General features: G+C 34.5%; 1 long non-coding RNA gene across 1 annotated transcript in view; it reads right to left on the reverse strand.

The window, feature by feature from the left end:
* Positions 1-2,415: 2,415 nt before the first annotated feature.
* The window catches only part of LOC107987178 (uncharacterized), a 34,970-nt gene continuing 20,050 nt past the window's right edge, over positions 2,416-17,335 (reverse strand). The window contains exon 3 of the long non-coding RNA XR_001749203.3: positions 2,416-2,719. This is a non-coding gene — a long non-coding RNA (uncharacterized LOC107987178). The remainder of the gene's footprint in view (positions 2,720-17,335) is intronic.

Here is a 17,335-nt window from a genome sequence, read left to right on the forward strand (position 1 = left end):
TAATTTGTCTTATATCAATTTAATTCTCAGGCCCAGCCAAAACTCTAAGAAGGTAGAGATAAAATTTTGCTTACCCTACATTGTCCAGCTATGTTCATAAGAAATGACAGCTAAGGTCCCCAAAGCATAGGTAATCGCTTCTACTGCTTGGCCTATGACAATGTTAAGAGGCATCAACATTTTAAAGAACTTAAAATATAAATATGTACATATAATACACACATAAGCCTCCTTTTCAAAAATAAAATTTGGGTAACCCAATAGCAATCTAAGATTGGCTAGTGTTATACCATGCCTGGCTAAATGGTTTTATTGGATATCTGTTGCCATGTTTCCATTAAACTAATGAGGTCCACCTATCCAGTGAATTATTATACTATAGATTTCCTCTCTGGAGATGATAAGCTTAACCATGTGTTCCTTGTTTTTTGAAATCTGTGTCACTTCATCTTTGCATCATGCTCCTTCCTATAATATTTTAACTTATACATCCAAATAGTTAAAGAAGCATTCACTAAGTACTGCCCCAGGGAAAGAAGGAATTAACACAGCTAACATTTTATGGTCACCTATCATTATGAACAAGTGATAGTTTTAGATCTGCTTTTTAAATTAAATCTCAGGAACAATTTAGTATTTATAATTGTCATCTTTAAAATGAGGTAACAAGAGATTGCTTTGGTTACATAATTTAATCAAGATAATCCACAGTAGAACTTCTATGTTATAATTGAAACTTTTGATATCCTTTTAACTTCTCTTCCTATTCTAATTCCTTATATGCTAACCAACATATATTAGTTTTTCTTCTTATTTTTTATGCTATTTTCATTTAATAAATGCTTCCTTTAACATCTCTGAACCACTCCATGTTTATGCTTATTGAAGTACAAATAAACACTTGATGTTTTATTTTGGGTTTTATGTACGTGGAATGATTATATGTTCATTCCAAACAAGGCCCAATTAATAAAGTCCCTTAAAAATCTGATCAAGTTACTTGATCATAGCTAAAATTTAAAATTGCGTAGGAATAGGCAATAAGGATGAAGGACCAATATCAAAGACTATGAATTTGGGGCACTGTCTTAATATATTCTTAGGAAATACAGTAGTATGTAGGAAGCAGCAACCGATATAGTAGAGGAAGAAAAGGCAGTGTTCCTTTTGAAAGGCACACCCCAGTAAAATGCTGAGTTTGGCCGTGAGAAAGGCAAAGACTGCTACATCATCTGCTTCTTAATTAGAAAAAATAGCTTTAGAATATAAATACCTTCACTGCCACGGAGTTCATTTAGATAGAACCTTTCTTAAATGTAAGGTAGAAGGAATTACGTGCTGGTGTTTTACGTATCAGCAAAAATATTTAGAAAATTTTGTATTTAAAACCTGCATTATATGAACTGGAAATTAAAATTTAAGTTAAACAGGTAAGCTGATTTTATCTGATCATAAAAAGAGGGAGACTTACGTCTCCATATTTTTCATTTGCCTAAAAAATATGTACTGATTATTCTCCCTGGATACATTTGTGTTGTCTGGAGATAGGGGATGAAAGGTTGCCTGAGGTTGCATTCTCCATCTGAAATTAGCAGGACCAATTATCTTCATTTCCTATAGGGTCTGTAGTATATTTTCCAAATAGAATGCCTGAAGATATTGTTGTATCTAAGTCTTAACATTTAAAATTTGTCAATGTAGCTATGAAAGTTTGCTACATAGATCAAGACAAGCATTGACTTTTCCTTCTCTATATCTATGAAAGTCTCAGATAGCATCTTATTCTGATATAAAACTGCTTTGTCTGTATTGAAAATATGTTGTTTAGTGTGGCCACCTTCCTGAGTTGCCTTAACTCCATCTGGATAACTTGCTGGAGTTTCTCCATCAGCGCGTAATGCTTCATTTTGCACTTTTGTGTTGTGGAGATGGCGTCTTTCCTTAAACTTCATGAACCTTTTTTTTTTTCTGCAGCTTTCGGACCTCACTCTGCCTTTATGAAATAAAAGAGGGCCTTGCTCTGGTTTAGGCTTTGGCTTTATGGAATGTTGTGACTGGTTTGATCTTTCCAGATCGCTAAAACTTTTTCTATATCAGTAATAAGGCTGTTTTAGTTTCTATGTTCATTTTTGTGTTAATTGGAGTAGCATTTTTAATTTCCTTCAATAACTTTTCCTTTGCATTCACAGGTTGGTTAACTGTTTCAAGCAAGAGGTCCAGCTTTCAGCTTGTCTTGGCTTTCAACATACCTTCCTCACTAAGATTAATCATTTCTAGCTTTTGATTTAAAGTGAGAGATGTGTGACTCTTCCTTTCACTTGAACACTTAGAGGCCCTTGTAGTGTTATTAATTGGCCTACTTTCAATATTGTTGTGTCTCGGGAATAGGAGGCCCGAAGAGAATGAAAGAGACAGTTAGTGGAGCAGTCAGAACACACAAAACATTTATCTATGAAGTTTACTTAATAGATATGTCTTATATGTCTTATATGGGTTTGGTTTATGGTGCCCTCAAATATTACAATAGTAGCATAAAAGTTACCTTATCACAGATCACTATAACAGGTACAATAACAATGGAAAAGTTTGGAATATTGTGAGACTTACCAAAACACGATACAGAGAGGTGAAGTGAGCACACGCTCTTGAAAAATGGTGCTGAAAAATTTGCTTGAGTCAAGGATGCCACAAACTTTCCATTTGTAGAAAAACAGAGTATCTGCAAGAAGCGATAAAGCACAGCATAATAAAAGGAGATATGCCTATACAATTACTGTGTCAGTTTTTAGAAAACCCCATACTTTCTAGTTACTGTTTTATCATTTCTTCTTTTTTCTAAAAGTTGAGTTTTGAAAAACAGAAGTTTCATTAATGTTTTATTATATATAAATAATGGCCAGTAAGAATATACAAATTAGCCTGGCAAACAGAAAACTGCAATTATTTTATGCCTCATTGGAAGATAGAAGTATCAAGGAAGGCTCCTGGAGATCAGAATGTGCTTTGAAATTACTCAACACAATCAATAAGCAGTCAGTGGAAAATGTGAATGAGTGCACATCCAAATCTATAATAATAAAATGTTAGAAGCGAGAGATAATAAATCAGTTTGATCAAAAATACAGATGGATCTGGACAGCTGGAGAAATTATTCAGATTAGAAAGAGATGAGTTCTAATGAAAATAATAGTAGGATCATGCATTTGAAGAAGAATAATACATAGCAGAAAAATATAAACTAATAAAAAGCTAAGATATATATGAAGTAATTAGAGAGAACTTTATTTTAGTGTATTTGTTGATATACTGAAAAAGAATTTTAAGTCCAGTGTTAAAACAATGAAGGATAATTTTGTTCTAAGTTTCCTAACTTGAACAATTGGGAAAAAAAGAGAAAAATTATAATGCCACTTAGCTAAACAATAAAATTTTGTCCATAAGCTTAATGGAGATTTTATAAACTTAGCCGATTTCAGAACAAAGTAGAAATTGTAATAAAACCTTGATCGAGCATTTAGAAAAAATATAAATTCTTGTGCCAATTATATCCTATTTGCTTTGTAGTCTTGACAAGCCTGATTCTCTCTAGGACTTACTAAAATCATTATAGTAAGAGTTAATGACAAAACTAGAAGTCATATATAAAGGTAAACGATTACTATTAACCTTATTAATATTAGTTTTAATATTATTTATTTATAAACAAATACAGTTATGTTCCAGATAAAATACAAACGTGTTCTAGTGAGGGTACTTAAATATGGTTTTATAAAACTTATATAAAATATGTTTCATAAAACTCCTGAACACTAAAATTTTAACCTTGTATCTCATCCAGTTAGTCAGTGTGGGCTGCCATAGCAAAATCACATAGACTGGTTGTCTTGAACAACAGACATGGATTTCTCACAGTTCTCTCTTCTTGTACGGACACTAATCTTATCACTGTCATCTACTCTTAAGATCTCATCTAAACCTAATTACCTCCCAAAGGCCCTACCTCCTTAATCCATCAAACTGGGGCTAGGGCTTCAGCATATGAATTTGGGCGGACACAAACATTCAGTCCATAACTCCAGGTGTCATTTATTTTTCTCTCTACTCTTTAAGAAAATAAATCTATTGTCTTGGGTTTCTCTCTTTTATGTCCTTTTAGAGTGTCTTTTTGTTTGTTTGTTTGTTTGTTCAACTATCTCTTCTGTCCTACATAATTGTGCTTATCATTGTCACCAATGGTAATGATTTACAATAGTTTTAATAAGTCATAATTACTATCACTTCTCATTTCATGTGATGTCAGGTAAGTGAGTGCTTTCTTGTTTTGTCACTTGCAAAGAAAGGAGAAAAAAATTTAGTATTCATTGTAGCTTCTTCACTTTTATAAATGGTGTTTCTTCCTGCACTGCTTTCTGCTGCAGTCCCAGAAGCACTTACTAATTCTGAACCCCTCTCTTGGGTGATTCTCTGAATTGGAAATTGTGACCTTGAGGCAGTACTGATAGATCACTTCTTGTGTGCTGTGACTCCATGACTATGTTGAATTCCAGAGAAGAGCATCTTTCCTTTGCTCTGGGTGATTCATTTATCTCAAGGGTCTTTGCTACTCTTCCCTCATGGGGACAATTTCATGTATGTGACCTCTCTGGGCACTGAATGCAAGTACAAACACATGGCCAATTATATGCTTACAATATATTCATATAGCTAAGAGGATGGAAGAAGCCAGGTAGAACATATAAATCAAGGAGTCTATTCAGCCAAATAATTTCATGATATAGCATATATGGGTCAGAGAATATTTTTGAATAAATCACACATCTTAGAAATTATTAGTAAAACAAATGTTTACTTGAGAATTGAACTTATTTTTTACATTGCTATTTTAACATTTGACTATAATACTTACACTAATACTTAAATCAAATTTTAAGGACAAATCAGGATTATCTCATTCAATAACCAGCATCCTAGAAAATAGTTCATTAAGATTTTTCCTTATTACAAGGGAGGAAACTGACCACATCCCAAGGGCTCCCAGATGATAGGCAGGAGAACCAGGGTTAAGATATATGTTTATTACAATTCAGAGCAGTCCAAGATCTTAAAAACTGTCTCTACATATTGGGAAAATATTATAGTCAGCAAAAGTCTGAGTCCCTGAGTGTATTTGTGAAGCTAAAGTCCTGGAGGTAAAAGTGACATTCCAGCCCTCATATTCTACACTGATCAGGCATGAAACAAAAGCCTTGTATCTAGAGTTTGGAAAGTATAGAAAACCCTTCTACTCCTGGCTTTTACAGGCATACATTGAAGACCTTGATAAAGTTATTTAGGAAAGTCAGTACATTGCTGACTCTGTCCTGGAAGCACACATTCCAGAAGACATGCAATAAATTATGGATTGTTTAAAGGCCCAGTATAATACAATGAAATGACAATCATCCTGAAAACCAAGGTCTTGCTGGGCAAATCCTACACTTGGCAGCAACTCTCTCCTGACCTATAGGGCTTAGAGCTGTCATTGTATTCTGTTACCTCCATAGTTCATCATCAGTCTCCATTATACTGTGTTATATGGATACATAAGCACCCTATTTATGGATTGGCTTCATAAAAGAAAATATCACTAAATATTATAAAACAAAAGTAGCCACATTATACTGAGAGTAAACTCAGGAGAAAAATCAAAAATGGAAAGAAAGATAAGGAAGAGCAAAACACTTTCATATATGAGTACATATTACATCAAATGTTTCTTTGTAGCCATGGAAGTAAAATGATAGGTGTTAATGTCAGTAAAACAGTGTTTACTAACTTATCACATAATAAATGATTTGCTTTATCCTAGAGTTTATGGTTCTATCATGCTTTTTTTTGTAAGTATCAATACCAGTGTTAGGAGCTAAGGATGCTATATTAATCAATGCACTCTATAATACAATTTAGTTGTGGGGAGCAGTAACCCAATGCAGACTGTTCCAAACAAAAATAAAGAGAAGGAGTATTTGGCAGGCATAACAGAGAAGTTCAAGCATAGAAACAGTTTTAGGTATGACATGATATATGTGTTCAAATGAGATAGTCAAGAATAGCTCACAAGGTAAGTCTTCACTACCGATTTGCTTTTATCTTTGTTGACTTTATTTTTAGTCAGTTATTCTCAAACACAAGTAGTGCCAAGTGACAACCAGTGACAGCAAGATGATATTGGATCAGGTAAAAATTTCTTTTTGAGAACATACAACAAACAAACAAACATTCTTTTTATTGAGTTTTAACAAACTCATATGTAAGGATCTCACTGGTTCAACTGAGGTAATGAGTCATTGAGAAGCTTAAAGTGCCCTGAATGGCCACACTGGGGTTACATCTATTCCTAAAGCTCAAAGTTGAGCCAAACTCTCTCAAATCACATGGACTAAGATTGAGGAAAGAATTATCTCTTCCCCAAAAGTAAAGCTTCTTTTACCAAATAAAACCTAAATGGTTGCTGGGTAGGCAAAATATTAGGTCTCCCATATGAATGACACCCGGGGAAGAAATGAAAATGAAAACAATTTAAGATTAATAATGTATGCTCAGAGCTTAGAGAACCTTTAAACACTATCATTTCCTTTGTTCAGTATTCAGACATGATTTATTGTCAAGCACTGTGTTAATGTTGTCTTCAATTAGCAAAATACACTTGAAATTATCAAGATCCTGGACTAGAATGCATCAATTACTTTTACAGCCATGGTTAGTAGACATGCTCTCATGTGAAGCCAATATATTTTTTAGCCAAAAGAAAGACTGGACCACAGAAACTCAGCCTGTAGAAATTTAAAAAGAGTTGTTGATTATTTGAAATAAACAGAAATAGCAGCAGGCAGCTGGCAGCTAGAAATCTGCGATGGGTTGATACCATTTTGGAAAAAAAAATGTCTCTGTAGGACTACATTACAGAGACTAATAGAAAAAAGGTAGAGCTTCAAACACAAAGGCATGTCTGAAAGCAGAAACCTCACTTGCTAAAGAGCAGCTTCCAATAACTGCCTGCTTCATAACAGGTTCTGGTCTTTTCAGTCTCTTCCTCCACTATCACCATCAGTTTCAAATATTAAAGTATGATAATTATGTTTGCATGCCATAAAGGTGTAAATGCCATGCACACCCTTATGGGAAAACCATCCCATGGACTTAAGCAATATAATGAAATGACCCTGTCTCCAAAACAACCAACCATACAAACCACAAAAAATAGCAACTACAATTTCATGCCCAAATTCCAGTAATCAAAATAGAGATCTTATACCTCAGCCCCAGTTCAATTTAAGACTACTTGAAAAAACATGATTAAAATCATATGAAAAGTACATTGTCTAGTCTGCCTGAAGCCAGGAAAATCAAAATTTGAGTGAGAGTTTGTTTTAGTCATAGAAATTATATTAGCAAGCTCTTGTATACATGTGCTGTATCTAGTTTAGTCTCATCACAGTTTAAAAAATGTATGAGTGTATGTATATGTATATGTGCCTGTCTGTAGGTATGTATTTATGTATAATATTGTCCTTAATGGCAAAGGTATTCAGTTAGGCTCTTAAGAACATGCTATAAAAAGAACAATTCTTATGGTGTAATTTAAATGCAGTATGAGAAAAAGGATTAAGTGCATACACTTTCATTTAGCAGGTTCAGCTAGCTTATTTGTGCATCCAACATAAACTCTTAAAAATTACCATAAGCGAAATATAACAGATTATAAACGGTTGCTCATATTAATTTAGCTAAGTACTTGTAATCTGCCTAAGCGTTATTTAACAGAACATAATTGCAAAACAGTATGATACCTCCAGAGTTTGAAAGACTCTCATGTGCCTAAATCATATTTAGCAATCATAAGGCCAAAATAGAAAATACTTAAACAGGAGATACTTTTCAATACATGCAGATTTATTTTTCTTCCAAATGGAAAAGTACATTTGATTGAATCAGAAAATCAACAAAAAATCTCTGGACTTGAATGGGACTCTAGACGGAGCTAATAGCCATTTACAAAAATATTCTATCTAACAGTGGCACAATATACATTTTTCTCATCTATGCATGGAATATCCCCCAAAATACACCATATGCTTGGCTACAAAGTTTCAATAAATTCAAAAATATCAAAATTATATCAAGTATCTTCTTGGACCACAGTGGAAAAAAATTAGAAGTCTACATTTGAAATTATTTCTGAAACATAGTTCCACCTCTTGGTATTTTATTTCATTCATCTTTGAAGCAAATGCAAACACAGTAAGGAAAAAGGAGTAAACCACTGTCTGAAAGACAAAACACTAGTTTTGTAAGAACTAGGCTTTGGTGGCCGGGCGCGGTGGCTCACGCCTGTAATCCCAGCACTTTGGGAGGCCGAGGCGGGCAGATCACGAGGTCAGTAGATCGAGACCCTCCTGGCTAACACGGTGAAACCCTGTCTCTACTAAAAATACAAAAATATTAGCCAGGCGTGGTGGCGGGCGCCTGTAGTCCCAGCTACTCGGGAGGCTGAGGCAGGAGAATGGCTTGAACCTGGGAGGCGGAGCTTGCAGTGAGCCGAGATTGCGCCACTGTACTCCAGGCTAGGTGACAGCTGAGCGAGACTTGTCTCAAAAAAAAAAAAAAAAAAAAAAAAAAAGAACTAAGCTTTGGTGAAAGATAAAACGTTTTCTTAAAATTCTAAAAGACCTACCTATATTGCATAGTGCTGGAATCTGGGCTGTTAGTGTAACCATTACCCAAATAGTGTAAATTGTACCCAATAGATAATTTCTCATCCCTTGCCCTATCTCTCACCTTTTGGAGTCTCCAGTGTCTATTATTCCACTCTGTATATTCATATATAGACATTGTCTAGCACACACTTTAAGAAAACGTACTGTATTTGACTTTCTGTTTCCGAGTTATTTCACTTAACATAATGGCCTCTAGTTCCATCTATGTTGTTGCAAAAGACATGATGTCATTCTTTTTATGGCTGAGTAGTATTCCACAGTGTGTGTGTGTCTCTCTCTATACATATGCGTATGCATATAAATATGCATATATATATCGCATTCAGTATATATATAATATAACATATTCAGTGTGTGTATGTATACACACCACATTTTCTTTATTCAATCATTCATTAATGGACACTTACTTAGGTTGGTTCCATGTCTTTGCTTTTGTGAATAGTGTTGCAATAAAGATATGAGTGCAGGTGTCACTTCATATATTGATTTCTTTTCCTTTGGGTAGATACTCAGTAGTTCTATTTTTAGTTCTTTGAGATATCTCCATTCTGTTTTCTATAGAGGTTGAACTAATTTATATTCCTACCAATAATGTGTAAATGTTCCCTTTTCTCCACATCCTCATCAACATCTGTTGTTTTTAATTTTTAAATAATAGCCATTCTGACTGGTGTAAGACAGTATCTTAATGTGGTTTTAATTTGCATTTCTCTGATGATTAGTGATATTGAACATTTTTTCATATGTTTGTTGCCGCTTGTATGTTTTTTTAAAAAAATGTCTGTTTCATGTTCTTTGCCCACTTTTTAGTGGAGTCATTTGAATTTTCTTGTTGTGTTGTTTGAGTTCCTTATAGCTCTGGATATTAGCCAGAATTGTCTAATGAATAGTTTTCAAATATTTTCTTCCATTCTGTAGATTTTCTGTTTATTATTATTTCTTTTGCTGTGCAGAAGCTTTTTAGTTAATGAAGTCCCATTTGCCTATTTTTGTTTCTGTTGTGTTCGCTTTTGAGAACTTTGCCATAAATTCTTTGCCTAGGCCAATTGTATTAATCTTACTGAAACTGTTCCAAAAAATCGAGGAGGAGGGAATTCTCCTTATCTGATTCTATGAAGCCAGCATTACCCTGATTCCAAAGCCAGGCAATGATACAACAAAAAAGAAAACCAGAGACCAATATCATGATAAACATAGACGCAAAAATCCTCAACAAAAAACTAGCAAATTGAATCCAACAGTACATCAGAAAGATAATACAGCAAAGTTTTATTCCAGCAATGGAAAGATGCTTCAAAATATACAGATCAATAAATGTGATTCACCACATAAATAGAATTAAAAACAAAAGCTGTATGATTATCTCAATAGATGCAGAGAAAGCATTCAATAAAATCCAGTATCTCTGCATGACAAAAATCCCCAAAAAGGAGGCATTGAACAAACATACTTCAAAATAATAAAAGCTATCTATGACAAACTCACATCCAACATCATTCTGAACAGGCAAAATTTGAAATCATTCCCCTAAGAACCAGAACAAGATAAGAATACCTACTTTCACCACTCCCATTCAACCTGGTACTGGAAGTCCCAGCTAGAGCAATCAGGCAAGAGAAAGAAACAGAAAGTATTTAGATTGGAAAAGAGAAATTCAAATTATCTTTATTCATTGATGATATCATCTTATACCTAGAAAACTCTAAAGATTCCTCAAAAAGAATATTGCATTTAATAAATGACTTCAGCAAAGTTTCAGCATACAAAACCAACGTACAAAAATCCATAGCATTTCTATACACCAATAATGATCAAGCTGTGAAAAAAATCAAGAACTCAATCCCATTTACAATAGCTACAAAAAAAAACCTAGGAATACATTTAACCAAGGAGATGAAAGATCTCTACAAGGAGAGCTATAAAACACTGATTAAAGAAATCAGAGATGACACAAACAAATGGAAAAACACCCCATGCTCATGAATTGGAAAAGTTAACATCATCAAAAGGACCATACTACCAAAAGTAATCCTCAAATTCAATGCCACTCCTATCAAATTATCAATGTCGTTTTTCACAGAATTAGAAACAAACAACCCTAAAAATTCAAATGGAACCAAAAAACAGCCTGAATAGCCAAAACAATCCTAAACAAAAGGAACAAAGCTGGAGGCATCACATTATCTGACTTCAAATTATATTGCAAGGCTATAGTAAACAAAAGAGCATGATACTGGTATACAAATAGATATATAGATCAACAGAACAGAATAGAGAAGTCAGAAATAAAGCCACATGCCTGCAAGCAACTGATCTTTGGCAAAGTTGACAAAAACATACACTGGAGAAAGGACATCCTATTCAATAAACAGTGCTGGGAAAACTGGCAAGCTGTATGTAGAAGAATAAAACTGGAACCCCTATCTCTCACCATATACAAAAATTAACTCAAGATGAATTAAAGACTTAAATGTAAGACATAAAGCTATAAAAATCCTAAAAGGAAGCCTAGCAAAATTAGACTTGAAATACTAAGAGCTGATTTTGAAATACTGAGAGATACGTTTTATGTTATAAAATACAAAGAAGGAAAAATGTAGCAAAATGATTTTCAAGCCCAAAAGAAAATAACGATTTATCTGGGTGAGTGGTCCGTGGACAAGCAGCATCAGCATCACCTGGAAAGTTGTTAGAAACTCAAGTTATCAGGCTCCACCCAGGACCTCCTGAATCACAAACTCTGGCGGTGGAGCTCTGCAATCTATGATTGAAGACATTTTCTGGCCAGGTGCAGAGGCTCACGCCTGTAATCCAGCTATTTATGAGGCTGAGGGAAGGAGTGTTTCAGCCCAGGAGTTTGAGACCAGCCTGGAAAACATAGTGAGACCCCATCTCAAAGAAAAAAAAAAAAAAACACACACAACAAAAAATACTTTCCAGCACAGCACACTGTAGATTATCAGTTGTTCACCATCGTGATCTCTTGGCCATCTGGGAGCTTTGGCTCACTGGCTGCCCAGAACTAGAAGGGAGTATTGTATCATACAACATATTTTCAGCTTGGGAATATATCACAATTCAAAATTTGAAGTACAGTTTCTACTGAATGCATATTGTTTTCTCACCATTGTAAAATTAAACAATCGTAAGCTGAACCATGGTAAGTCAGAGACCATCTGTAGTTGATTTACCTTGAACGAATAATATTTTGAAAATGGGGGCTTATGAGTTAACTTGTTTTCATTTGTAGAAAAGCAATGGCAGTTTTCTTTTTTTTTCTGTTCCAGTCTGTAACTGTTCATTTTGAACATGGTACCATTAAATTATGGAAGATTTTTAAGGACGGAAAGGGTCCCATGATTATACTGTTAATATTTTTAACTTGAAAGATACGGCTATGCATTGATTTTAAGAATTTCAGTAACTGACATTTGATAGGTATAAACTGTGCTTCAAGTATTATGCTTGGCCCTTCTCCCTTGCTATGTCATTAATATGCCTGACAACTCTATGGTACATATTATTTTATATATCAGAAAAGTATTTTAAAAATTACCAGAGGTCACATTACAGTAAGATGCAAACACAGATGTTTAATATCAAAACCTTATATCTTGAAATCTATGCTATGCAAGAGTGGCAATAATTGATACCTGAAGAATGTAAATAATATTGACTAAATGCTAAATAGAACATCTGACATAAATTATATATATTAGGTAGTCAATAAATACATGTTAAATGAATGGATAAATACCACTCAATTTATATGTACTCACCTGTGTATTTGATTAAGAACTTTACTCACCCACCTTATCTAAATCACACTGCCCTTTTCCCCACATCTCTTTATCCTGATTCATATTCCTTCTTCACACTTACCACCACCAGACTTTTATAACTGTTTGTAAACTCACTTGGTATTTGTCTTTCACACTCATGTGCAAGCTCCATGAGAGCAGGGTGGTCTCTCTAGCCTACTGCTGTATCCTTAGTGTATAGTATGTAGTGGAGGTTTAATAAAAATCTCAATAAAATACTTATAAATGAATGAGCAAGTTTTCTTGCAATTTTCAATAACAAATATTTGTGAATGCATATTCGCCTCCAGCTAATCCCTTTTCCTTCTATTACATAGACATTGAATACTAAGAAAACATTCCATAATCTTATTCATGGGTCTTAAGGGGACAGTTTCAAAATGTTTACCAGTATATGAATATAGATTCTAACTGTTGAATATCCCCCTCCCCTGCAGACAGCAGACAGTCACACTGATTGTTTTTTGACAGTTTTGAAGCTAATAAAGTGCCACAGCAATGTAAGCTTTCAGAATGGCAGTTGTATGAGTTTCTAGAGAAAGGGGAAAAGTAAAACAGTCAGAGCCAGAGACCAGGTTAAAACAGAAGAGTGATTGGGGATGGGAATCACAATATCACCTCTGCCTTTCAAAGATTTATACTACCCTCTTGTGGTAGAGGTAATCCTGAACTCCACTGAGCCACTGTGGAGTGGTCCCTCACACCAGCTGCTTATCATGGTTAACCCAGCAGAGCACACCAAGTTCCTAGGCCGGGAGCCAATTGCAACAAAAACACAACTCAGAACAAGAGCACAAAATGAAAGGTTTTAGGACAGCAATTTAACACTCAGCAATTCCCAGGAACCTTTTATTTCAGCAGGCTGGGAAGAATTTTGGTTCTTATTTGTTTTCACCTAGCAAAGACATCTGTTGGCACCCAGAGCTGCAGAAAGTGTCTGCCAAATCCATGATAGTCTTGGCCAGTTTTCAAGGATGTGCTGTACAGTACATTAAACATTATCCTACAGGAAAGCAACCTGTGACCACCCAGATCTCTGTACTAAAGACCCAGCCAAAACGTAAAGATTTCTTGATTGGCTGACAGATCATCTTGAGTTGATTTACCACTTCAGCTCTAAGAGCAAATGTAACAGCTGCAAGAAATCTCTGTTTTGCTCACTCAGCTTGCAGAAAACACATTTTAGTTTGAGAACATTTCCTTCCTTCCTTCCTTTTCTTCCTTCCTTTTCTTCCTTCCTTCCCTCCTTTTCCTTCCTCCTTCCTTCCTTCCTTCCTTCCTTCCTCCCTCCCTCCCTCCCTTCCTTTTTTCCCCTCTCTTCTTTTGTTCATATATATATATATATATTTTGCTGGCTTTTGCTGAATATGTAAGTGACTCTGTTCTTTCATTATTTTGCTTTAATTTAATCATGTCTTTTCTTGGCTTCTCATCAGCTTTGTTTTATAGTCTGGGTTCCCTCAAACAAGCCAGAAAAGGAAGGGAATTAGAAAAAGGCATAACATTTTTTCAAGTATGCTTGTCTTAGAAATATTTAAAAAGTAATACCATACTTTTAAAATCTCTAAACATAGACTCGGAGGTAAGACATGCTTATCTTAAAAAGTAGTCATTTACTTGCCTTTCTTATGTTGGGTACATGCAAGAAACTAACTTAATTGCAGTATGGACGCTTTCATTTCCTCAACCGTGAATACAGCAAACTATGAAAAGAAGGGAGCATCAGAAAGGAAAAGAAATAGCAAACCAAAGGCTATTGCCACAACAGTGTAAGAAACTGGCCAGAGCTTGAAAGTAAAATAGCCAAACATGGAGGATTTGCCACTTTCTCACTAGCTTCTTTGTCATACTGGGGAAACAATAAAACATCTTTTCATAAGAATGTTGCCCACATGTGCTAAAAAAATATGCTACTAGTCTAAATGAATTTTGTAGGCCCTTGATATCCTATTTTGTATTTTGTATTGAATATTATTTTTAGAGTGCAGAAAGAGCATGTATATGGTCACAGAGCATCAAGACTAAATTCTGAAAGATAATCAGGACCTGAGACAAACAGAATGAGAGGCAGAATGTCTAAAATTGTGAAAATATAACTCGTAAAATGTGTTTTCAAGTTAGAAGAAATATTTCCTCTAAACAAAGTTAAGTTATCCTAACTGGTATTATCATTTCCCAGTGACCACTTTTTAAAGATTTTGAAGAAAAATAACACATAGTTTCAGATCCATTTATTTAATAAAAGTAACATTGGCAAGTGGGCACAATTAATTTATATTATATGCAAAGTATCTCAGTTTTAATGAATGATTTTATGTAAATGAATAGACAGCCTATTATTTCATATAATGTTATCAATGGATTGGAGTGTTGCTTTGTTAATGCACTTACCTGACCAGGATATTCTAGTATAAGGAAATCTTTCATGATAACCAAAGGTAGAGAACTCATCATTCCTGAATCTAAGGAATAACTAAATTCTCCAATTACTATATCAGAGTACTGTCAGAAAAAGAAAAGCTCATTAGTTCAGCATAACTACCTGATTATCTCCACACAGTACAATCTTATTTTTTATGCAAAAATGGGTTGCATTTGGGAAAAGCATTGTTGCGTAGAAAATGTATTAAAAGAGCTCTGTGATACGTGCCTAATGTTTTTGTATTGTTGAGGAGTTTGGAAGACAGTATTATGCATACAGATGTGCTACAGATCATTAAAGATCAAGAGCTTTCAGATTGTAAAGTCAACAGGCTGATACAAAAATGGAAAGTGACAAGCAGCATCTTACTCAGAATAGGAGCTTTAAGGGGTAGAAGTAAAAGTAATATTCTAATCACTAACCCCACCCATCGAATATTCTGGTTTCCATCCTAGATTACTAAAAATTTAGTGGACACTTTAAAATTTTTATTTATAAAATCATTTATCAAATATGTCCAGAAAGTAATGTTGTATGAGAAAGGGTTTATGTCTGCATCTGTGTCAGTTTGAGAATAGACAATATAAATAAGTCATAAATATGCTTTGGTGGACTAATTTAATAACAGGATCTCTAAAAGGATAAAAAATTATGGCATTTATTGAAAATACCAGTTACCAAATTTTGACACATTTCTTTTTTCATTTGAATGCAACATTTTAAATTTAAAATGTGCATAACAGGGAAATATCTCAAGTTTAAAGATACTCTGTATTTCTTGATTTTAAATAATGTGCCCCACCATTCGAAATGGCTGAGATAAACATTTTGACATGTAGACAACATAAGCAATGTTTACCAATGAACAAAGAATATCCTGTATACGATATGCTATTCTTAATAATAAGAGAAGTACCTATTGCTAGAAAGCTCTAATGTTCCTAATTAAAGTATATAATTAAAGACTACTGAAAAAAAAGTAGTATGAATACATTATGAAATGGGCCAGTTGTTCACAGCATCAGAAGCTGGCTACCATTCGTTTGCCAGACTTTTTGACATTAAGCTTAACCCTGCTGTACTTTCTAGACCCAAAATTCTCCCTTGCCAGCAAGGATTTAATTCACGGCCAGATGGTCAGCAACAAGTTGTCATTGCTACCAATCTGGCTGTGACCATACAGGCCAAATCAAGAAATTATGCTTCTGCTTTGTTCGAAGGTACATGTCTGTAATCGCAGATCGGTCCTGGTCCCCTGGGCAAAGTTTCCCACTTAAGTTCCTCACCCTGAACTCCTGCTTTCTTTCTGGTCAGTCCCTTTTCTCTCACCAGTTTAGAGACTGCAATTAGTCCCCTAATATGTCACCCTGTTACTTCGTGCAGTTATTTTTTAGCTTACTTCTGTGGATCTCTGAACAGTGACAGCTCCTAAATTGTTCATTGTCATGCTCCAATGACCTGACTATCGGTGATTTTCTGATATCCCTCTTGGAAAGTCCCTGACATTTAACCACTTGCCTGTGCCTATACTTTGTCACAAATTCTCTGAATACCATATTCTGCCTGTTAACCCAAATTTGCCTTTTGTGGAAAAAAAATGCATAGGTTTTGCTTTAAAAAGGTACTTGGACAACATACTCAAATATCATTTTAAAAGACAGCCTCAGTCAACACTGCAAAATTAAAACAAATGGAAAAAACAAAATAGTGAAAACCTCCCTAAGAAGATGTATAATAAAATAGAATAGAAAGCTGAGGGACTACTGAAGACAAAAATTTTGAAGACACTTCACCTGACTGAAAATATAGAGCTAGACTAAGATAGACCTGTCCCAAATTCAACACATCATTTTGAATCTCTGAGTCTTTAAAGAGAAATACATTTACCCTGATCTCTCCTGTGTGTCTGTCTGCCTTGTGACTCAGAGATTTGGGATTGAAACAAATCAGAAAAGTGTTCATATATAAGAAAATTCTACTGTCCATCTGCTCCTTTAAGTGATTAGATTAAATGAAAAATAAGTGGTCAGAAGTTATATTAGAATGGATTTTCCCTGAGCTAAAAGGACTGAGTGAGTTGCAAGCAATGTTAGTGAAAATTGATCTACATTTAGTTACATTCACAAGGTAAAGTAAAAATTTAATATTCTCTGAACAAGTAATAAAGTACAAAAAATGAGATAGTTTCAAAGCTTCCTCTTTAGCAATCTTTTTGACAACAGGTTGCAAAAGAAGATAAATGTTTTCAATAGGAAAGAGTTTAGTGTGCCAAGAATTTTAGACATTGTCACAGGACCTTCAAGTATGAAGTCAGAATATTCTAATATATGCAA

Source organism: Homo sapiens, chromosome 12, assembly GCF_000001405.40.
Source record: "Homo sapiens chromosome 12, GRCh38.p14 Primary Assembly".
Classification (NCBI taxonomy): Eukaryota; Metazoa; Chordata; class Mammalia; order Primates; family Hominidae; genus Homo; species Homo sapiens.